At 38.3% G+C, this 23,635-nt stretch overlaps 1 protein-coding gene across 55 annotated transcripts in view, besides 1 other annotated feature; it reads left to right on the top strand.

Moving 5' to 3' along the window:
- Positions 1 to 23,635, top strand: part of PTPRD (protein tyrosine phosphatase receptor type D) — a 2,298,757-nt gene that overhangs the window by 2,115,944 nt on the left and 159,178 nt on the right. For 25 of the 55 annotated variants that reach the window (XM_017014961.3, XM_017014971.3, XM_024447625.2 and 22 more), the window contains 4 exons: positions 4,080 to 4,197; positions 10,710 to 11,297; positions 11,732 to 11,832; positions 12,681 to 12,940. In XM_017014961.3, coding sequence (XP_016870450.1) covers positions 4,080 to 4,197; positions 10,710 to 11,297; positions 11,732 to 11,832; positions 12,681 to 12,940 — 1,067 coding nt within the window. The remainder of the gene's footprint in view (positions 1 to 4,079; positions 4,198 to 10,709; positions 11,298 to 11,731; positions 11,833 to 12,680; positions 12,941 to 23,635) is intronic. The other 30 variants (NM_002839.4, XM_006716827.5, XM_047423649.1 and 27 more) reach the window with 3 other exon arrangements.
- Positions 10,467 to 11,666: an enhancer, noted in NCBI's record as "MED14-independent group 3 enhancer chr9:8485393-8486592 (GRCh37/hg19 assembly coordinates)". NCBI's record gives its function as "activates an origin of replication core promoter dependent on BRD2, BRD4, P300/CBP and CDK7 cofactors, and independent of MED14, by STARR-seq in HCT116 cells {active_cell/tissue: HCT116}" and the evidence as "EXISTENCE:reporter gene assay evidence [ECO:0000049][PMID:35650434]".

Below are 23,635 nucleotides of genomic sequence, written 5' to 3'. Positions count from 1 at the left end.
ATGGTGCTATTGACTGCGTAAGAAATGTCATGGGCTTGTGATATTTGTTTTGATGGCTGCTACTAACTCTGCCTTGTGACAGTCAGAGGAGGCATGCTTTAAAACACAGGGGTGTTGTCTAATCTTTTGGCTTCTCTGGGCCACATTGGAAGAAGAATGGTCTTGGACCACACATAAAATACACTAACATTAACTACAGCTGATGAGCTAAAACAGAAAAAAATCTCATAATGTTTTAAGAAAGTTTACAAGTTTGTGTTGGGCTGCATGTTGGATAAGCCTGCTTTAAATGAAGGCATTGCAGACTGGAGATGTCAGATTGTTTGGTGTAGGCTGCTCATAATGCTCATAAATCTGACTCCAGGATCGCATATCCAGTAGATAACAAGATATAGATCTGGCACTGATTAACTCTAACTAGAAGTGGCTGTTCTTCACTTTACCCATACATATTTGAATGGTGAATGGATTATGCCAAGAAGTAGAAAGTATGTCGCTGAGGGAGGAATGTTTTTAAAATATTTGAATGAAAACTCTATGTTATTTATTGAGGGACTGTTATGTATATGCCACTGCAAGGGACACATGATGTGACACCTGCCTTTCTAGTGTTTACATTCTAAGTGGCTAGGGAAGAGTAAAGTTCTGAAAAGTTTCATAGAACGCAGCAAAATATATGGCCTACAGCAGTGGACCATGCATTAGTAAATTAGTGGACAGTGTCAATAAAAGCTATGAATTCAGAGACAGTGGTCCAAGATAGTAAAAGAAGTCCTGAAGCTTAGTTGAGAATTTAAGGGATGACTAAAGACTGAATAAGTGAAAAAGTGTGTGTGTGTGTGTGTGTTTGTGTGTGTGTGTGTGTGTGTGTGTGTGTGTGTGTGTGTTGGAGAGTTGGAGGTGGAACATACATATTTTTTAAAGTTGATCACAGCAAAACCAGTCATTGAGACAGTTGAGCATGTGGTATAGTCACGTGACAGTGAGCCTGACAATTTGATATAAATGAAGGCTTCGTGTTAAGTAACTCAGTGGTAAATAGAGCTAAGAGGTAAACTATAATATAATACTGGGAAAACCAGAAGAGTCAAGCTAAAAAGCTGGCCGGTCAGTCTTTAACTCTTCAATATTAGAGTGATATAGAAGAAATAAAAAGAAAAATGAGTTAAAGGCTGGCAAGACGGTATTCTTCCATTCACTGAATGAATATTTACTGCCAATGCACATGGCTCTTGTTGGGAATCTTGTAACTGTGTGCAAGGTATCAGTTCTCATGGGATTGCCAGTGCAGCAGCATTTTTGACCGTAAACTTCTTTGACTATAACTCACAGTAAGAAATACATTATTGTATGTCATGATTCAATGCACACCTCTGTTTAACTAAAATAAAATTTTTATAGAACCATGCTTTAAATGTATAATAAACACTAACATTAAGTATTCAAGTTTATTCCACTTCATTTTCTGTTTGTTTGTTTCTTTGTTTAAATTCTGGTCATGACTGACTAAATTGATTTCACAACCTACTAAATGGGTCATTACCTGCAGTTTAAAATCCAGTGACTTAGTGGATAGATTAGAGAGTAAAAAGGTGGCAGATAGGAAAGCAGGTAAAAAGAGTTATTTTGCTAATTTAGTCATGAAGTGATAAAAATGCAACAGAGTTGAGGCAGTAGAAATGAAAAAGTGATAGTTAGGATCAATAAAAGGAAGAATTGGCAAAAACTTGCTAAGAACTGAGGAAGAGAAAGAGGTCAAAGATAGCTCATAAGTTTTGCAGATGTGTTACCGTTCATTAAAATATGGAAGTAAGGAGGGGGAGTCTACTTCCAGGAATGATTTTTAAGTTTTAGTTCATTTGAACTTGAAGTAACACTGGGTAGTCACAGGAAAACATCTAGCAGATATTTACAATGTATATGCCACTGGAGCTCAGATTGGAAGTCACAGCTGGAAATAAATCAGGAATATGGGCAGAAATAATTATTTAAGGTTTAGAAATGAATGCAGTTTCTTTTTTAAGATTAGAGAAACAGTAGACCAGTGACTGTGACAGAACCTCAGGTATGCCAACTTTTAACAGTCAGGGACAAGAAGCAAAGTGGAGACAGGACAGGAGGAAACAAAGAGAATGAGGAATTATGGCCATAATATCAGGCACATCACCTCACAGAGCATACTGAAACAACCAAGGAAGGAAGTGCACCCACCACTTAAAGAAAGAAAATGTAATCCAAGAAAGGATATGACCGTGGCAGTTGGAGGTGTGTCCAGCCGAGATTATACCACTGCAGGGAACTTGACGCATTTCAAATTGCGTTATGTCTGTTATCCTCTAACAACCTGGGCAAGATAATGGATATGTGTGGTTAACTCCAATTTCATGATAAGAAACATATAAGTCTCAGAGTGCATAATTTCTTGCTACAAAATTTGGTGATGGAAGCAAGCCTTGCTGCTTTTTCCAGTTAGCCATGACTGCTTTTCAGCAGTACTCCAGTGGCATGTGAGGGGAACCTTGGAAACCATAATGTTGGCATTTACTCATGATAGTTTTTGGGATAGCCAGTGTGTCTGCTGTCATTTAAAATACTGCTCTTGGGTAGTTTACTTGGTTTTTCTATCCTCTGGAATGTTAGGGAAACCATTCCAAGGTCCTGGAAATACAACATTTCTCCCAAATAGTCCATTTATCTGGCAGAATAAAATTTCCAGTGACTCTTCAGGATGATATCTGAACTTCTTGAATTTCCACAGTGAGATATTCCTACTCTTTTGAGAAAGCATGTTCCCAGAAACTGTCATATTTGGGATCAGCTTCAACAATTGAGCTCTACGGTATCTGTTACAGCCTTGCTAAAAAAAAACCTACTGTATTTCACACAATATAATTCGTACTCGTCACTCACATTGTCTTTAGATTTGGAAGACAATGACATTGTGCATTTTCCTAAATTTATCCATATTCAATTTGAAAACACAGCTGTGCCAAAAATCTGAAAGGGTTTTTATATTGCTGTGTGTGTGTGTGTGTGTGTGTGTGTGTGTGTCTGTGTGTCTGTGTGTGTCTGTGTGTGTGCGCATGTGTCTGTGTACGCGCGCATGTGTACATGCAGCTCTGGTATTTGTTCTTAAAATACTAGAATAAGCTAATAGCCAGAATCTCTAAAGAATCCCATAACCTGCAGTTTAAAGGAATATATCAAAGAGCATCTGGTCTTATAACCACCACAGCTTTGGGCCCTGACTAAGAGAAAACTAAGAATTTAGGTAAATAGTATGTGATATTTAACAATTTTTAGAAAGTCAAAATAAATTGAGCACATACTAGTGATGTGGTAAAACTAAAGTCCTGTTGTATTCTTTGCTTTTATGGCTGCTTTTTAATGTGTGTGAAAATTCTCCTCAGTGGATAATGATTTCTGCTCATAGCCTATACAAATAACCAATAAAAATGATAATACAATCCATTAATAAGAGAGTCCTAAGAAAATTCTCTCTCAGGGTATCTAGGTCCAACAACAACCATTTGGCAAAATTCGTCTATAGTGATAAAACAGACTATGCTGGCATCAGCCCCATCTGTAGTCTGTGGGTTACAGTGGATATGTGTGGAGAGCTGTTGGCATAAAATAATCACTCTTTAATGGAATGCTTCCTATAAGCCAGGCATAGTTCTGTGAGTTTACCTGATATAACTCATATAATCCTATGGGGTCCTATTATAATTCCAACATTCAGATGGGAAATGGAGGCACAGATAGGTAAACATACTTGGTCTGTCCAAGCTAGTAAGGACATGCAAGTTTAAGTTTAAGAATTCAGGAAGTCTGGCTCCAGATTTCATGTCTTTGACTAATACCCTAAGATCTACCTCCCAAGATGCCTGAAGATGCCCCTTCGATATCAGCATGAAAACAGATCTCCATAGCATGAGCTCAGGCATGAAATTTCCAGGGCTTAGCATGGCTGCAAGGGATGTGCGAGCATTTGCAGAATGAAGGCAGACGGCCTTGTTTTTCCCCCAGAGCATTAGTAGCATGTTTTGAATCAGTGACATTCTATTTTGTCATTTCAGGACATGATCATTTCTGGGCTCCAGCCTGAAACTTCCTACTCCCTCACCGTCACAGCCTACACAACCAAAGGAGATGGTGCTCGCAGCAAGCCCAAACTGGTGTCCACCACTGGGGCAGGTAATCATGTCTGTGCATGTATGTGCCTTGAACAGTAATACTAACTTTTTAAATGGTATAGGTAGCTTCTAGCAGGCTTTTATTATAGTAAAATCAGAGGAAATAAATGGACTATGGTCAACTTTTGTGTTTTTAGTTCAGGGGTAAAAAAAAAAAAATAGATCAGGGAAAAAAATAGTCCAAGTGCATAATTTGTCCAAACTATTCAATCAGTCATTCAATAAGTATTTTTTTTTTTTTTTTTTTTGAGCACCTTCTGTGTGTCAGGCACTGTTACCAGCACTGGGGATGAAGCAATCAACAAAACAGAACAAGAATCTACACTCATGAAATTCACTTTCTGAATAGGACTAGATAATTAACAAGTGACAAAACGAGTATATAATAAAATGTCAGAAAGTGGTAAGGTGAAAAGTAAAAGCGTATAGGCAATTAAGGATCAGGCAGCCTCTAGGGGCTGAGAAGTTCTGGTAGAGGAAGGATTATTTAAGTCGAGACTCAAATGACGTGAAGGATCAAGTCCCATGAAGATCTGGAGGGAAGGGATCTGGGCAGGGAAGTCAAGCAACAATGTCAACTTCCCTGGAAAACAAATCCCCTTAGAAGAGCTGCCATCTTGAACTGGGTTCATGACTTACAGTTCTACCTTTTGTCATTTTGTCTTCCCCACCCCCTGCTGTGGGGATTCTAAAGAAGCCAAACTGAACAAAAGATAGAAAACAAAAAAGAAAAAGAAGAAAAGCAAGAAGGCTAAATAGTATAAAATTACTCCCCTCTAAAGAATAAGGTTTCTTCAATGCTTTTTAGGATGACTTTGGTCAGCCACAGTAGGAAAAGCCAGCATGAAGGAAAATCTGGCATTGTAGAATGAGTAAATTAAGAGATAATTGCAGAAGGATTCTCCTCAATCCTCATATATGGCAATCTCCCGTGAACATGTAAACCATGATTTGATTTACTCTGCCCGAATCACTTCTCAAATATCTTTTTAGGAACATACCTCTATGTAAAGGCATAAAGTAAAGAACAGCTGTGATGTTGAGTGCCCTCCTGCGTGCCATGCTCACTGCCAGCTTTGTCTAAATGTCATAAGATTTGCCTCGCTCGCATCCTGCCACCTGGAATTGCCTCAAACAGCAGGATTACAGATGGCAAAACTCCTTCAAGGCTGAGTCTTCTGGGCTTTTTTTTTTTTTTTTTTTTAAATACCATTGTATCAAGCTAATTTAATGCCCTGAAGAGCAGGCATGTATTCAGTGAGGGGCATGATGGCATGATGACTATCTGGCTGTGGATCCAGTCTCTGTTAGAACGTCAACAACAAAGAATTGAATCTCAAATGGAAGAAAATACATTTTATTTACCTACACTTATAAATATGTCATAATAACTCTGAAATGTTTTATATGAAGCACCACTCCCCTGTTGCCCATTAAATGGGGTCATGTTATGATGACAAGAAAGTAGTGGATTTATAGCCGAGGAATATGAATTTTAGAGAAAGGAATGATTTTGTCTATTTTAACGTCACTAAGGCTAGCTCATCCCTTTTTATTTACCATGCAGTAGACATTTTAGAATTTTGGAACTTATTCACATATAGAATTCCTTTGGAATTTTCATTCACAATTTTAGATCCTTCTTAATCAATAGAGGCTTCGGTATTGAGATAGAAAATGCTTGTAATTTAGATGCCTACACGTTTACTTTTGTAAGACCTCCCCACTGCATCTGGGAAGAAGGCAGAAGAATCCAAATTTAATTCCTTTAAGAGCGAAGCTCTAGTTTTCCTTTGCATAAGCAGCCGCTACTCATGGTTTATCCCTAGGCAATTAGTGAATATATCAATTTGTTTTGTCTACTGTATTAAAAATCCTCGTATATTTATGTGACTGTGAAGAATTACTGAGTTTATCTCACAGATGTGAGCTCCTAATAACCATAATTGTAAAGGTATTTAGTTACAGCTCCCACAAAGAATTCAGGAATTCTTGTGAAATTTTATTTTAATAGTAAACTTCCTGATTGTGGGATATTTGTTTATTATACCTTGTTTCTACAACCTGTAAAGAATCATATCTTGGAAACGAGTACTGATCATAATTTAAGTAATCTACGTAAGATTCATATAACCTCAAGGATGCTTCTGAAGAAAATGTTGGCTCTTATGTTTCAATGCTTATGAAATATTTGTATTTTCTTTGTTAATCCTCCCATTATTCTGTATTGTAATAATTAGTTTACTGTCTGAGTTCTTGAGGTTAAAGGCAAACAGAAAATTCATTGGTTTGACATTTTCTGTATATTTTTACATGAATTTCAGTACTATATTGAACAGCTATGTTTAAGGATAATCAAAAGATGACTGTGACAGGGAGAATTTGGAAATATTAGCCCAAGTCTAGTCAATTGTGATTGTTGTTGCGTTGGTACTAGTTTAAATTGGGGCTAAATTTAGAGCCACTGGGACTGAGTACCTCGGTTGATCTCCAATGATTCCAATTGCTAAAAAGTAAAGGGCAACCACACATACGTACCAATTCTGAAGTCCTAGGAAATTTTTAAAAGAATGTAAGAGAATAAGAAAATGTAAAAGGGAGAAGAGTTTATATGTCATGACGTAAGTTTTAGAGTTATTTACTTTGTAACTGGACCTTCTCTGCTTCTTCCAATGTGTTCATTAAGACCCTGCTGAAAAATGACCTTCCAACTCCCCTGAGTAATTATTTAAGACCCTTTCATCTTACCAACCCTCAAGCTCCAGTGCTGGAGTGAGCAGAACCATTGAACCAACAGCTGGCATGACTTATAAAAGTAGTCTACAGAATAACCCTAAGGCATTAGAAACCTGACTCCACAGATTGCACAATCTATTCCACCTGATTATTTTCCCAACTAGAATATGCCTGTATTAGAGAACATGGACCCTGCTGCATCCGTCTTTATTTCCTCACTCAACTACCTGTGTGCCAGTGTACAAGTATTTGCACAAAGTGAATTGTTGGTAAATGTTTGATACCTATAGTGTTTCTGGAAGCCAGGAATGCAGTGAGTTCCATTGCCAATCTGTGGAGTTTGGGAGAATTCTTTTTAACTATGTATTCAATGATGTAGAACTCTCCTCATTCCTTTTCCCTTTTTTATCCTATCCTGATTCCCTGGATAAAATACCACAACTGTCCCAAACCCTTACTCCAGCCTGTTTAAACTGCATTTACTGTTTCTATTATTCACATGCTTATGGAAATTTTAGGCATCGCTTCGTGTGACCCTTCATGTGGCCAGCCTCTCCTGAGGTGATATTGGGTGTTCTTCCCCAAGCTGCATAAGCATTCATTTCTTTACTGAGTCCTTCCTTTATGCTTTGTGGCACTTCCAGGCTGGTTGTCTCATAGTTTTCAGGCTTAGTAAAACTTCTGCCCAGGGAAGGAATGACTGTTGTGGGTTTGGCAATAGAGAGCAGACTGAGATCCTCCTGTACAGCAGGGGAAGCCAGTAGGTCAGAGCTAATGCTCTTATTTCTATATCATTACTTTGATCTCGTGATTCCTAGCCAACAAGCCTTTCTGTCCCAGGATAAGAAAGGTCATGCCAACATCAAAAACAAAAGAGATTACTCCATCCTAAGCTTTAACTCCCACAGAAGAGTAAATGTATACATCTACAAAGTCAGTGGGTTTTTTCCTAGACTTTGCCAGCCCATTAGATTTATCCAAATGTGTACCATAGCAATATTATAAAGTGAAACATCAGTTACTAAGAACATGCTCATAAATGACAAATATTAGAATGCAGTCTCTATTTGTGGTTTAGATCAAAAAATTATTTTTATTTATCCTAGCTTTACGTGCATCTCACGGAAACAGGATACACGGTGTATATATTATTATGCAGTTCGTTGGAACTAGAATTTCAAAAAATTTTAATAAATATGTTTAATCTGTTGCCTCTGGAGAATATTGAGAATTAATAGTTGTGTTTCCACCCACTCGTTTCAACGGAGTTTCATATATTGAAGGCTGTATTCTCTGTTGAAAGCTCTATTTCACCATGGATTTTTCTCAGCAGAGACTCAGGTGTTTAATCCTTGACACCATCACTGACATTTGGACAAATCATGTAAATGCTCTATACACATAAAGGGGAATTAAAGATGTCTGCCAATGTCCCTACATTAAAGTACTATTTTAAAATTAAGATAATTGTAAATATATTAAAAGCAAGTGGAATAGTTCACACAGTTTCCAACTTATGGATGGGTGGTGTTCTGAGAGTGTGTGTTGGTCGTTAAGATCTCTGGATGCATTTTTCCTGAGGAACACAATGAGTACACAATGATGTGGTTCCTGGGCCTACCTTCAACACACATGTTTTATATATACAACACAACACACATGTTTTATATATACAACACAACACACATGTTTTATATGTATAACACAGCACACATGTTGTTGAATAATTATTTATCTAAAAACTTTAGAAACTATTGTTTTCATACATTGTAGATTAGCTGAGTTATATCAGCATGTGATGAATCTTCCCAGCATGTGAAACAAAACTGTTGCTCCATTGGTTAAGGAAATAAATATCTTAATGATATTTCTTAGAGCAGAGCACATCTCCACTTGGGTTTCACTTTCTGAAATACAAAATGAAGAGGCTAATCAGTCCATCTCTGAGGTTAATATTCTATGTATTGTCTCATAATCTTTTTAGTGATTTTTTTACCTTCATCTATATCCCCATGGTATGATTTTTTATCACCTGTTTCCCATTACTGTAAGCTTTCCTCCTTTCCTACCATCTTTCTTTTTCTTCACATTCATAATTTTGAGGCACAGTTTCACTGTCACTCAGGCTGGACAGCAATGGTGTGATCATAGCTCACTGCAGCCTCAAACTCTTTGGCTCAAGCAATTCTCCCACCTCAGCCCCCTGAGTGGCTAAGACTACAGACATGTGACACCATGCCTTCCCCCCTCCCCCCGTAGAGATAAGGTCTTGCTATGTTGCCAAGCTGTTTGTTTGTTTGTTTGTTTGTTTGTTTTTGAGACGGAATTTGCTCTTGTTGCCCAGGCTGGAGTGCAGTGGCATGATCTCGGCTCACTGCAACCTCTGCCTCCCGGGTTCAAGTGATGCTCCTGCCTCAGCCTCCCGAGTAGCTGGGATTACAGGCATGCACCACCACACCTGGCTATTTTTGTGTTTTTTGTAGAGACAGGGTTTCTCCATGTTGGTCAGGCTGGTCTCAAACTCCCAACCTCAGGTGATCCACTGCTTCCCAAAGTGCTGGGATTACTGGTGTGAGCCACCACACCCAGCCGCTGGTTTTGAACTCTTGGGCTCAAGCAGTCCTCCCACCTCAGCTCCCAAAGTGCTGGGATTATAGACATGAGCCACCATACTTGGCCTTTCTTCTTCTTTCTGTTAACTTGGTTTAGTTTTTATTCTGATGATCATCCCTCAATGTCTTTCACTGTGGATTCCAATAATAATTGCTCTCCATTAAAAATAAATACAGACATAATAATACATTGAATGAGTAGATTAGACCTTTTCACATATCTAACTTAAAGGTAAATAAATTATGTATTCATTGGAAGCTAGCCTTTCACCATAAGAAGTTTAATATTCAGATTATTAATAATTATGGTTAATATTGATAGAATGCAGAACCTCATGCTAAGACTTTTACATGAATTTCCTCATTTATTATTCATAAGAACAATATAAAATAGCTCTTAATATAATTCCCATTTTACAGATGAAGAACTTGATGAATGATGTGGATAGTAAAGTTAGAAAGTGCAAATTAAATTCATAGTAAGTCAATACGATATTATTTTGTAGTTTGGTTTTTTTTTAAACTTTTAAGCAACATAGCAGCACAATTAAGCATTTAAGCAGTCGACTCCAGACAGAGGTGGGTTTGCCTTATAGATTTCTCACTTGTTACATGCTAGCCTTGGAAAGTTTTCTACCTCTCTGGGCCTCATTTTCTCATTATAGAAGATAGAGATAATAATAACTAATCCGAGAATGTAGTGAGGAGTCAGGAATGTAAACCAATTGTGAATACTATATGCAATGCACTTAGCGTGACGCCGGTACATTGCACATATTCAACGAATAAATAATCATTATAGTTATTCTTATTAGCCATATCTAATTGGCTGATCTTTGCTCAAATTAATTTATCTTTGATATGAACCTTTATGTGTGAAGGTTTAAAACGTGCAGGTGTCAAAAAAATCCCCTTAAGCTGTTGTTTCAATGATAATTTCTGTTTTGTGTCCATTATCAAATTCTAGTATCTCAGCCTACTTTAATAAAGTAAGACAAGGAGCATATTTCCACAAAGGTATGTAGGTCAAACATTGCCTGTTTTGTTTTGTTTTGGTAAGTAAGAAAATGGGAATACCAGTAGAGTGGAACTCCCTCATTTGGCAATGACTGAAATGTGAACGTTCAGATTGGTTGGTCTTACCACTCCATCCCATGTGCTCCAGTTCCAGGGAAACCTCGGCTTGTGATTAACCACACTCAGATGAATACTGCTCTTATTCAGTGGCACCCTCCGGTGGACACATTTGGACCTCTTCAGGGCTACCGTCTAAAATTTGGCCGCAAGGATATGGAGCCACTTACTACTCTTGAGTTCTCTGAAAAAGAAGATCACTTTACAGCTACAGACATCCACAAGGGAGCATCATACGTCTTCAGGCTCTCAGCCAGAAACAAAGTGGGCTTTGGGGAGGAGATGGTGAAGGAGATTTCCATTCCAGAAGAAGTACCAACTGGATTCCCTCAAAACCTTCACTCAGAAGGCACCACTTCAACCTCCGTCCAGTTATCTTGGCAACCACCTGTCCTGGCAGAGAGAAATGGCATTATCACCAAGTATACCCTTCTTTATAGGGATATCAACATCCCCCTTCTCCCGATGGAGCAGCTTATTGTTCCAGCTGACACCACTATGACACTCACTGGCTTAAAACCAGATACCACATACGATGTAAAAGTACGTGCTCATACGAGCAAAGGGCCCGGGCCATATAGTCCCAGTGTCCAGTTCAGGACACTGCCTGTGGATCAAGGTAGGATTTGTCTGCTTACGGCCTTCCTCCTTTAAAGGATTGTCAGTCTTTGGAAATCAGTATTTTGAAGCTATAATAACTGATCAGCCCATTCATATTAATAGGTTCAGCAAAAACAAAAAGGTAAAGTATGTAAAACTTACTACGTCTTGGATGCCTTAGATTTCAGTTATAGAATGTCAAGCAAGTCTGGCTGACAGCACCCCAATGTCCTCAGGTAAGGAAAACACAATAGAGTTGGCTGAATTGGAGAGAAAGGAAAGATCTCTGTGAGAATGGGGTATTAAAATGAATGCTCTAAACAGGTAGGAAAATCATACTTCTCTCTCTGATCAAAGTAGACAGCATCTAGCATAAGCCCCTATGGTCCATGGTGGAAAGGACAGGTCATCTGTTTTAAGAATAGTTTAAATACACTGTTTTTCCTTTTCCAGCAGTGTTTGCAAAAAATTTTCATGTCAAAGCAGTAATGAAGACTTCCGTGTTGCTGTCTTGGGAGATTCCAGAGAATTATAACTCCGCCATGCCTTTCAAAGTAAGTTGTTTTCTAATTTGTAAGAAATCACAGATAAAAGTAGAGGGGACAGTTTATCTGGGTAAGTTATTTGCACAGCAAGCAGACCACTTTGTTTTGGCCACGTGTCCTTGCTATTTTCATTTGTGACTTTCACATGGGAGACAGTTTGGTGCTTTGTAAGTGTGTCCTTTACACTCTGAAGAAGGAGCAGGAGCTTAAATCCAGGGCTGGCATCACTTGTAGGTTACCTACTACTTTGAACTTGAACTTTTTACATCTAAGCTAGTGCTTTTGTTTTTCAGCCAGAGAATGAAATTTACATGGTTTCTACCTATTTATATTATAATACCCTGGGAGTTTCTGAATTTGTTTGTTGGCCTGTATTCTTGGCACATTTTAAACTCTGGCTTGCCATTAAGAGATGTTAGCAAGTACATATTTATGAAATAAGAAATAGAGAAACATTTTTGAAAGTAAAAGTATATTTAGAAAGAGGAACCAAAACCTTTAGAAAATAGGCAATATTCATAATACGTTGAAACGTAGAGCTTTTCTGCACATATTCCATTAAGATCACATACAACTGACAGGTCTAATATTGATAAGTTATTTTCTATATATATATATGTATATATCTATCTTTGTGTATTTTTGATAGACTTGGAAACATTTTATCATTACACAGTAGGAAATGACAGGAAAATTGATGTGATCTCCAGAATTATGACTACTCATGGACTTAGAAATCACCTAAAATTAGAATTGACTATATATACATTTTCCAAAAGCTAGTGCACATTGGTTTAGAAAATATATTTTGCCTCTCTGATAACCAGATTTTTTTTTTATTGGTTTTATCTCTTTAGATTCTTTATGATGATGGGAAAATGGTAGAAGAAGTGGATGGCCGAGCCACACAGAAGTTAATTGTCAACCTGAAGCCTGAGAAATCATATTCATTTGTGCTGACAAATCGTGGAAACAGTGCTGGTGGGCTGCAGCACAGGGTCACGGCAAAGACTGCACCAGATGTATTACGTACCAAGCCTGCCTTCATTGGGAAGACCAACTTGGATGGCATGATTACTGTGCAACTGCCTGAAGTACCTGCAAATGAGAATATAAAGTAAGTTGATTGAAGGCTTAGGGCTGAAGGAAAGAATTATAGGTAAATAGGAACATTATATCTCAAAATTATAGAGGTCGTAAAAGAAGATACTGCTTAATGTAGTGAAAGATTCTTCTGCTCAGACTCCCAGTTTTGCTATCCGAGTTCTTTTACAACGTGTCCTAGTATTCATTGTAACACAGATTTTCATTAATTTAACAGTGAGTTTTTAATCTGTATTGCAGGGACAGTGTTATTTAGGAGAAACAGAAAAACATATAGAACATGGTTCTTACTACAAAGCTTTTTGTTTGTTTGTTTGTTTGTTTGTTTTTGTTTTTGTTTTTGTTTTTGTTTTGAGACGGAGTCTCGCCCTGTCACCCAGGCTGGAGTGCAGTGGCGCGATCTCGGCTCACTGCAACCTCCACCTCCCGGGTTCAAGAGATTCCCTTGCCTCAGCGTCACAAGTAGCTGGGATTGCCTCAGCCTCCTGAGTAGCTGGGATTACAGGCACCTGTCGCCATGTCTGGCTAATTTTTTGTATTTTTAGTAGAGACCGGGTTTCACCGTGTTAGCCTGGATGGTCTCAATCTCCTGACCTTGTGATCCACCTACCTCAGCCTCCCAAAGTGCTAGGATTATAGGCATGAGCCACCGCGCCCGGCTACTACAAAGCATTTTATGTCATAGTTTATGGAATAAGGTGAATAGGTGATTAACTCTAATATTTGGCAAAATATTTTTGTAATTATGAAGAAGTCTTACAAAGTACTAAAAGGTTGAAAAAAAGGGGGGGAAATTAGATAATGGTATATGACACTGATGTATTAAAAGTAGGAAAAATTCCAAAAAGTTAAAGTTAAAAATGACATTGGAAAAAATATAAACATTAGAAAATTCAAGTTTTCTGGTTTGAATGTAGCACAGCATAGAGGCCAACAGGCCTGAAGTGGAAAATTAAATCCAGTCAATTAAATAAGTTTGTCCAAGGACATATAGCTAGTTGGTTGAATAACTAATAGAAGAAAAAAGTATTTTCACCAAAATATATGAACTACAAGTACTGTGGTAGACTCCGGGGAATAAAAAAAGATGGATTCCTGACTTCAAAGACCTTACCATAGAGTGAGAGAGATACAGAGAAACAGACAGATGTAGTAAGCGTTAATGATAGAATTATGCTTTATCTTAAGAGCAGCTAATTCAGAATGGGTCAATAAAGTTTCTGAACTTAAATCTTAAGGGATAAATAGGAGGCATACAAATAATAAAAGAGAGACTATATGCAAAGGGAGTGGTAAGTGCATAGGCCCATTACTAAAGGCACCCAGTGGTGCCATACGGCTGGATCCCAGAGCGCCTGGCCACAAGTGGCAAGAGAAGGAAGAAGGAGGCATACAAGAGCCAAGGGTATACCCAGAAGTGAAAACTATATCCTCTAGACAATGGCAACCCATTACAGCTCTTTACACAGGAGAGTGGCATGATAACATTTCAATAATACATAATAAAATTCCATTTTAGGAAATATTTGTTGAGCATCTATTGTGCTACCTGTTTGGAATAAGAATAAATCCTTTCTCATTTCTTCTATCTCACACCCTCAAGTTTAGGTGAAACTTGCTATGCCAGGTTTGAAGGTCAAGCAGAGAGGCATTTATTCATAGTTCATGCATTGTTGGAATTTGGATAGATGGGAGCGCCATAGAGATAGTGGTAGAGAAAATTATTGGGAGGTGGTCACATAGTTGACTCTAGGCAAATAACAAGATTCTAAAGGAAGATGATGATGATGGAAGTAGGATGCAGAGGTAGACATGAGTTACACTAGAGTAGTAGTACAGCATACATTATTGGTAGCTGCTTTAATGATGAGATCAAGAGAGTAAAATATGGCTCTGAGTTCTGAGCTTGGATGACAATGAATGATGGTGTCATCCTAAAGGATAAAAAAATTCAGAAGTAAATGAGTTTAACGTTGTGTGTATTAATATGAAATATCAGTGAAATACCTAGTTAGAAGTGTGGGCTTAGAGAAGTTATTAAGATTAAAGATGGCCAGGCATGGTGGCTCATGCCTGTAATCCCAGCACTTTGGGAGGCCGAGGCGGGCAGATCACAAGGTCAGGAGTTCGAGACCAGACTGACCAAAATGGCAAAACCCCGTCTCTACTGAAAATACAACAATTAGCCGGGCATGGTGGCGCATGCCTGTAATCCCAGCTACTCAGGAGACTGAGGCGGGAGAATCGCTTGAACCTGGGAGGTGGAGATTACAGTGAGTCAAGATTGTGCCACTGCACTTCAGCCTGAGCAACAGAGGTATACTCCGTCTCAAAAAACAAAACAAAACAAAACAGATTATAGATATGCATTTAGGAGTTGTTAACAAAATAGCAATGGTTTCGTGGAAGAAGACAGAATCATTGAAGCAATGAGGGGAAAATGTGAAGCAAAAGACTAAAATAAAGGTCTCCGTTAATAGGAAGAAGAGAGCCAGTAGAGGACACAGAGAGGGATTATTAGAAATCTAACAGGAGAACTGAGCCAGAGCAGCATGGCAAAGGGATTTTCTAGAAGGAGAAAAATTCAAAAAGTGGTCAAAAACTCCCCAAACTCCAGAAAACTTAAAGCAGATGGCTGAGAAAATCAGGTATTAAAAAACAAAATCAGAAATAAGAAGTTTTAAAATAGTATAATTTGTGTAATTTAGGTATAATTAATAAATTCAGACCTGATACACATCCTAAAACAACCTTTCCTGGGTACACTTTCAATTATTGTTTATTTGATAAAATAATTGATGAATTTCAACTAGGTGACAGAATTTCAAAAAGATTATTACTAAAATCAGTGAAAAGAATTTCTGAAAGATTATTACTAAAATAAATTCAGTGAAAAGAATTTCTAAAACATTATTCCCAAAATAAATTCAGTGTAAAATAAAGTCTTCACATTTGTCTACTCTTATTTTTTTTTTTTTTTTTTTTTTTTTTTGAGACGGAGTCTAACTCTGTTGCCCAGGCCGGCGTGCAGTGGCGCCATCTCTGCTCACTGCAAGCTCCGCCTTCTGGGTTCAGGTCATTCTCCTGCCTCAGCCTCTCGAGCGGCTGTGACTACAGGAGCCCACCACCACGCCTGGCTAATCTTTTTGTATTTTTAGTAGAAATGGGATTTCACCATGTTAGCCAGGTTGGTCTCGATCTCCTGACCTCGTGATCCAACCCCTCAGCCTCCCAAAGTGCTGGGGTTACAGGCGTGAGCCACGGCGCCCGGCCCTTCTTCTATTATCTAGAAATCTGAAAATGAGAATGGAGTATTTGTGTAATTTTTATCCCAAGCAATTTCAGTATGACAGCGGGATTATATTCCTTGATTTGTGTATTCATTCTGAATGTTTATTAATTGATCTTGACAGATAAAGGATATTTATGAATTTTTAAAACCACTTTATTGAAATATAATTGATATGTAAGAAACTGTGCAGATTTAATGTATACAACTCAATGAGTTTGGGGATACGTATTTACCTATAAAACCATCAAGGCCATAGACATATCAGTTATTTCTTGATCACATACCCTAATAGTCAACGTTAATGTTTCAGGGATTCAGTAGCGACAGTGTGTCCTTTCTCATTGTTCTCATACAGCATAGTTAATTGGGCAATTTGGACAAGCAAAGAGTTCACTGAAGCAGAGTCCTATAGTAGAGAAAATTAGATAGATAAGGGAGGCTGTAGACGAGGCTCCTAACTCCGGCTTATTAGTTCAGCAGTCCTAGAGAAAGTGACAAATGAGGCTTTTTAAGCTGAGGCTTAAAAAGTGACAGGAAGTTAGCTGGGCCATGGGAGTGGGAGTGGAGAGACAGCCGTTCACTCAGAGGATAGAGCGTCTCTGATGGTGTAGAGGCAAGAGAAAGACTAGCAATTGTTGTTTGGCCACGTTGTACTTGTCTACCTCTTAAGACTTTCCTGCTGGCATCCAACAAATATATATTCTATACACACTGTTTTGTCAGGACTATTTCTGGGAATAGAAAGATGACTGAGATTAAGTCCTACCTTATAGTAAGAGAATAGATTCAGAAAATAGATAATGTGAATATAATGGGGTGAGTACTGCCAGGTATTGTGAAAACATAAATATCAAGTTTTAGCCCAATTTGGGTGTCAGGGGAGGCCTCCTGAAGGAGATCATATCTAATCTGAGTCTGATAGTGTGAGAAAGATTTAAGAAAGGTGAAAAAGTTACAAATAATGAAGGAACAGGGAAATGATAGACTATAAATTCATTCCATTAAAAAAACATGCATGTCTCTTCAGGAAAAGAGCAGTTGAAAGAGGAAAATAGTATAGTATATTCTTCAGCATTTACTATTAATTTAGTTTTCAATACTTTCTTTTATTTATATAAAAATGACCTTTTAGAGGCTGTTCACCAAATTGTGTTGCTAGAATGTGTTAGCTATTATTGGAAATTGGCACTTTTAGTCCATTGGTGGTAAACTTTAGTTTCATTTTCCAATTTCTGAAGGAGTTGAGAATATTGCAGAATGTTTTCTACCTTTGTCAGTTTTTATTTTTAGCTTGTTCAATTTTTTTTGTTTTATTTATGCACTTTCCGCTTCTATATTTGAAAAGGGAGTCAGGGAAAAGGTATAAAACTTTGACATCACAGAAATGAGACCATTACAAAGCAGAAAAAGAAAGCAAACTATTTTGGACATTTTTTGTTTTCTAGGAATGAATAAAAGATTCTCAGAAATATATTACAGCCACTTTGGGGAAGAAATGAGTGAAAGACTAAATCAGGAAAGTACTTGAGTGAGAAAAGTATCAAAGAAATGGAAAATGAAAAGCAAATCTTGTAGTGAAAAGCCTTAGATGATTTCTATTTATTGGAATTCTTAAAGGGATAATAGTGTAAGGTTACTACTCCTGTTTTCTAGACTGGTTAATGTAACACGGTCAGGTATTACAAGAAGCTCCGTGCCATGCTGTGTCACTTGCCGTGGTTGGCAAGTTTAGAAATTAGGAAAGGTTGTAGCTTTTTATTCAGTATTCTATTAGAAAAAATGTGAGGAAGAAACAGAACTCATTCCAGAACGGTGGGCAGGTTGCTAACTTTTATTTAGATGAAAGCTATCCAGAAAAATGCTTCCTATTTGTTTTCAAGCAAAATGCAGTTTTGGTGATTGACACCTGTTTTCTTGACCAACAGAAACCATGCTGTCATTTCTGGCCAAGTTAATGAGGAGGTCTTGGCCCCTACTCCTTAACTCCTCAACACCGAAAAAGTGTCTAATGATTTCTAATTAATTTAATATCTCTTTACTTTCATACTTGGTTGTTGTATTTTTTGTGTGCCACATCAGGAGAGTTCCCTCACAGAAAGGCTAAATTTCTTTTGTAACAGCCTTAAGGATACTGCAAGTTCTGGTATCAGGAATTCTGTGGTGCTTAAACCTACTATTTAAGTAGATTTGGGGAGCAGAATGCCAGTCAGATCTAGCAGTGCTACTGTTGTTCAGAAGCAAGTTGTAATGACATAGGGAACTTCTGTGACTTTATAGAGCAGAATTTTACTCTGGGTATTTAAAAAATGCACAACACAGATTATACTAGGAGAAAAAACTACCAGAAGGTACTCAATGTAAATTAATTTTATAACAACCGTTTTATGTTTATAAAAAATTGAAATAAAGAATAAGGGTATTCTATGAAATTTTCAATTTCTTTGGTCTTACTAATTTGTTCTCAACTTTTTCTTTTAAACAAGAAGATTTTTGTGGAAGCATGGCTTACAGTGTTGCTTCATAAGATTTGTGTTCCACTATTAGCAGCCTAATGAAGAGTAATTAATCATGTGTTTGTGAGTTAAATTACTTTAACTCACAAAGGCTTAAATTTGTATAGTACTTTGCAATTTACTGAGGATATTAGGTTTCATTTAAGACTCACAATAACCCTGTGAGGTAGGTATTCTTCCTCTAATTTACATATGAGTAAAATGAGGACCAATGGTACTAAGTGTCCTGGCCAAGATCATACAGCTAATACTAGTAATGGTTAATACGAACAGAGGGCATACTAGGTGCTTTGCAAAGGATGTTACACACATTAACTGATGTAATCCTCACAGGAATGGTGCTCCTTATTTTATAGCTGAGGAACACACAACATACAGTGACTTGCCCCAGCTGGCAATACAAAACCAGAGAGGAAAGGCTTGAATCCAGGCAGTCTGGCTCCAGAGCCTATGTTCTGAACCACAGCCCTGCCTCTGTGCCCATAAGTTTATTGGTCAAAATAGAATTTTTTTTTTTCCTAGGTCAATTGATAACTGATTAAAACTCCAAAAGAAGTAGACATAAACAGGACTGCCCCAGACAAACCTTAGAACTAAGAGTGACCAGGCATATGTGCTTGGGTACAGATCACAGAAGTGTGTGTTTAGTGTCATGAAGCAATAAAGTCAGTGGGTTGCCATGAGAATTTAAGGAGCGGTAAAGCCAGGAGGCTTACGCAAGGAATGACATTCATCATTAAACTCCTAGACGGACTTTTCACCTCCCAGTTAAATAACATGTTTGAGAATGCTAATACACACTAACACAAAAAGCCTGACTGAATTTGAAGTGGGACTGCCACAAAAACCAGAGCTTGCCTTCTCATATAATTATGGGGAACTGGGCCCCTTGATGATAACATATTAAATGAAATCAGTAAAACTTTACTTAATATAATTAAAACTCTGAAGGTTAGATTTAACTTATCTAATTAAATCTAATATACTGGGAAAACACAGCTTACTTTATAAGTAGTCAAGGGCTTTCCAGATATATTGATTCTGAAGTTATTTATTTTTCTATTACTTTAATAGTTAAAGTCTATGTTGAAAAGCTGTTTTGAGTCTAAACTCCAGGCTTGAGGCAGACGGGCAAAGCAGAATATTGAGTTTAATTTTACCCATATATAAAGCTAGCTCCAAAAGCAATTTATTTTTTTTTTTTTCATTTCAAGCAAGTTCTTTCAGCTCATATGATTTGGTTGATATGAATTTGTAGGGCACATATTAGCTGCCCATTTCACTCCTCCAATATGAATCATCTTATCTTTCTTAATGTCCTGTGAGATTAGAACAAGGGTCACGAGTAGGCCAGTAAAGAAAAGAACGTTTGCAATAAGGAGTTATATTTTCTAGAAACTCTATTTGGGCATGCCATTGCTGGTTTGAAGAAAGGAGAAAAAGCTTGATGAGACTGAGAGTTGAAAATTCTGATGGAGAAGAACCGCCAAATATTTTTGACTGCCTGACTTAGGAGAGGCATTAATTCCTAAGAGCCACCTCTTGTACCCACTTTCTTTACAGTGGAAGAATAATTCCATGATAAAATAGCAAAGTTAAGCAAATGTTGGGGGTATTATATGTATGTCTGCTTTAGTAATGTTTTTATAAATATATAAATTTGTTGTATAAGAAAATGTATAGATTAAAAATGGTTCATAGAGACCATATAATGGGGGTAATAGGTTTAAAAAAAATCAGAGAAGATTTCACTTAGAAAATAATCAGTTAGTAGATATTTAAGGAGAGAGAATAGTTAACTAGGTGGGAGTGACAGAAAGTTCTAGGCAGGTGGAACAGAATGATCGATAGTTTAATGACAGAATGGACTGTCAGAGATCTCCAACCCCTGGGCCATGAATGGGTGCCAATTCCTAACCTTGTTAGGAACCCGACCACACAGCAGGAGGTAAGCAGTGGGGAGGGAGCATTACCACTGGAGCGAGCTCCGCCTCCTGTCAGATCAGTGGTGGCATTAGAATCTCTCAGGAACATGAACCCTATTGTGAACTGCACATGTGAGGGATTTAGGTTGCCGGCTCTTTATGAGAATCTAATGCCTGATGATCTGAGGTGGAACAGTTTCATCTCAAAACCATCCCCCCAATCCCCACCCTGTCCGTGGAAAAATTTTCTTCCATAAAATCAGTCCTTGGTGCCAAAAAGGCTCGGAACCACTGGACTAGGGTAAATGCAAGAAACTGAAAGCCTATCAAGCTGTAGCTGAGAGGGCACAGTCAGAGGGATTCAGGCAAGATCCTGCTGGCCTTCTGATACCTTTCAGTCTTTATCCTAAGAGAAATGAGGATCCATTGAAATGTTTTAAAAAGTGGAAATGGCAGAACAAATTTTGTATTGTGAATTGAAAATTTCAGAGACTGCACTAGACGGGGCTAAAGTCAATAGAGAGAGTTGAGAGAGTAAGGTCACAGTCTGGGCATAAGACATGGAATGAGGCCAGAAGAGTGGCAGTAGAGATGGAGAAAAGCACGTGCACTGGAGATAGGGTTTGGAAGTGATAGAACTTAGCAATAGATTAAGTATGACAGAGGGAGAGAATAAAGGCAGATTGTCAATGATAACACCTAGGTTTCTGGCTTGTGCACTGAAATGGATTGTAGTGCAATGTTAGGGAGGGTTTATTTTGAAAGGCATATTATTTCTTTTATTTTAACCACAGTAAATTGGGGGTACTTTTGTAACTTAAAGTCAGATAAACCAGTGGAATTCAGAAGAACATTCTTGGCTAAAGATATGAGTCTGGAAATCATTTGCATATAGCTAAGAACTGATGCCCTGAGGTGGAATGAGATCTAGGATGAAAATAGGGTCTGGATAGAAGTTCTTGGCCAGAGCCTTGAGGAGTGTCACCATTGTAGCTGGGCCGCAGATGATAAATTCTGCTAAGGAAATAAGGTTAGTGTGGAAGGAGATATACATAGAAATAACAGAAGAATATCACAGAGAAAGGGCTCAGAATGTTTCATGGAGAGTGTTAACATCTTAAAAGGTCTGCTAAGAGGGCAAGAAGGACAGAAGAGTACCAGAAACTCCCCTTTTGATGTAATGCCCTGGAGATCACTGAGCACCCTGGCAATGGCAGTGAGGTGGAGTGAGGAGGCAGGCGCTAAAGCCTAGTCAGCTGGGAAGTGAAGGGAAAGGGAGGCAGTGGGAGCAGCAGGAACACACAGCTATTTGCAGAATTTTGGCAGTCAGGAGTGGGAGAAAGAGAGGTGACTAGAGTGGGATGTGGTTTGTTTTGTTCTCTATATGACACATATTTGTACATGGTTGAAACCTAAGTGATGGGATCAAATGGGGAAGGAGAAGTTGAGATATATGAGAGAGAAGGAGTACAATGTATGGTAAACTTCCTAAGAAAGTGAGAAGATTGAAAACAATTCAAGAAATAGTTAATGGCCTTCAAAAGTAGGGCCAGCCCTTCTACTTTACCAAAAGAAAATGTGTGGTTTGTTTACAGATCTAGATAGACTTGTACTTTGGTAGACAGATGATGAGGGAATTCTTGTCTGAATCTTTGCATTTTCTCTTTATATAAGAGATGAGGCCATCTTCTAGTGGGGTGGTTTGAACGTCCAGGGTTTCAGGCTAGAGGAGAAAGTGAAAATGTTACTGTGGAAAATGGAAGGACTAGGCAATTGGAGCAGTTATTAGGAAACTAGATAGTGGTAAGATTGCCAGGCCGTGTTGAAGGCCTAACTGGGGTTGCTGATTATGAATTTATGGCATTATTCTGCCCTGTGCTTTATTTCTCAAGCTGTGTTCAGCTCCCTGGATTCTGGCACAGAGAATGGCAAGCGTAGATTTCAGCTAAGGTAGAGTGGAGGAGACGGGCTTTGGAAAGGGAGAATTGAAGAATCTGAGAGCTTCAGTGGTACGTGGGCCCGACCTATGAAGGTTGAAATCACCCAGGATGATGACAGAGTTTGGAGAAAAAAGAAGGCCATGAACCCCGCAAAAGAATCTTCCCTGAGAGAAAGGAGATGCTGGGGGAGGTACTAGATGGCAAAAATCAGCCAGAGAAGATCATAATGTAGCTGGATTGCATGAACTTCAAAAAAGAAGGGGTTTGTTACTACAAAAGCAAGAGAGTGGAAGAAAAATACCTGCAGGAAGCGATGGGAAGCCAGGAAAGAAACCCCAAACCCTGACTCTGAGGTTCATGGGCAGGGGAGGAGGGATAGATCCACAGCTGCCATATGAGAAGGCTGCAAAGGAAGCAGTACCCTCAGGGGAGAGACAGGTTGCGGGTAAGGCAAGGAAGTTGATATTTACAAAGCTATAGTTGCAGAGAGCACAGTTGAAATGTGTGGATTTAGACTGAGGTGAGGCTTTGTATGATACAGAATTTCAAATTGCCACTGCCCTATTTCTTTCAATGTGCAAGAGCTGCTTTGAAGCAAGCTTCACTTTGACTGCCCTAGATGAATGCTTTAGAGATCAGCGGAGAAAAAAGGTTGTGGATATCTTGCCGCACCGTTAATTAATTGCCGTGGGGGAGGCTGTTCAATTCTTATCCCAGCCACAAGTAAAATGAATAGTGGGGGAGTGCTGCCGAAGAAAGAATGGATTTTTTTTTTCATGTACAAGAATGGCAACTCAAAGTATGAAAGCAGAAGAAAAAATTAATGAAACTCATCAGCTTAACCTTGATTTACAAGATTCTGAAGGAGGACAATGGTAGCACTCTGATAATATGCAGTATCATTGCTTTATGTGTAGCGCTCTTCTGACTTTGAGAAGTTGGTAGTGAAAAGCAAGAGGTTCCTTGACAAGTGTGTTTATCAAGCACATCTGCAGTGTGATTTTGTACGCTCAGTTGCAGCCTCTGTCATTCTCCTCC

The sequence above is a fragment of the Homo sapiens genome, chromosome 9, assembly GCF_000001405.40.
Source record: "Homo sapiens chromosome 9, GRCh38.p14 Primary Assembly".
Classification (NCBI taxonomy): domain Eukaryota; kingdom Metazoa; phylum Chordata; class Mammalia; order Primates; family Hominidae; genus Homo; species Homo sapiens.
Note: the sequence above shows the minus strand (reverse complement) of the source record. Positions and strands in the feature narration are given on the sequence as shown.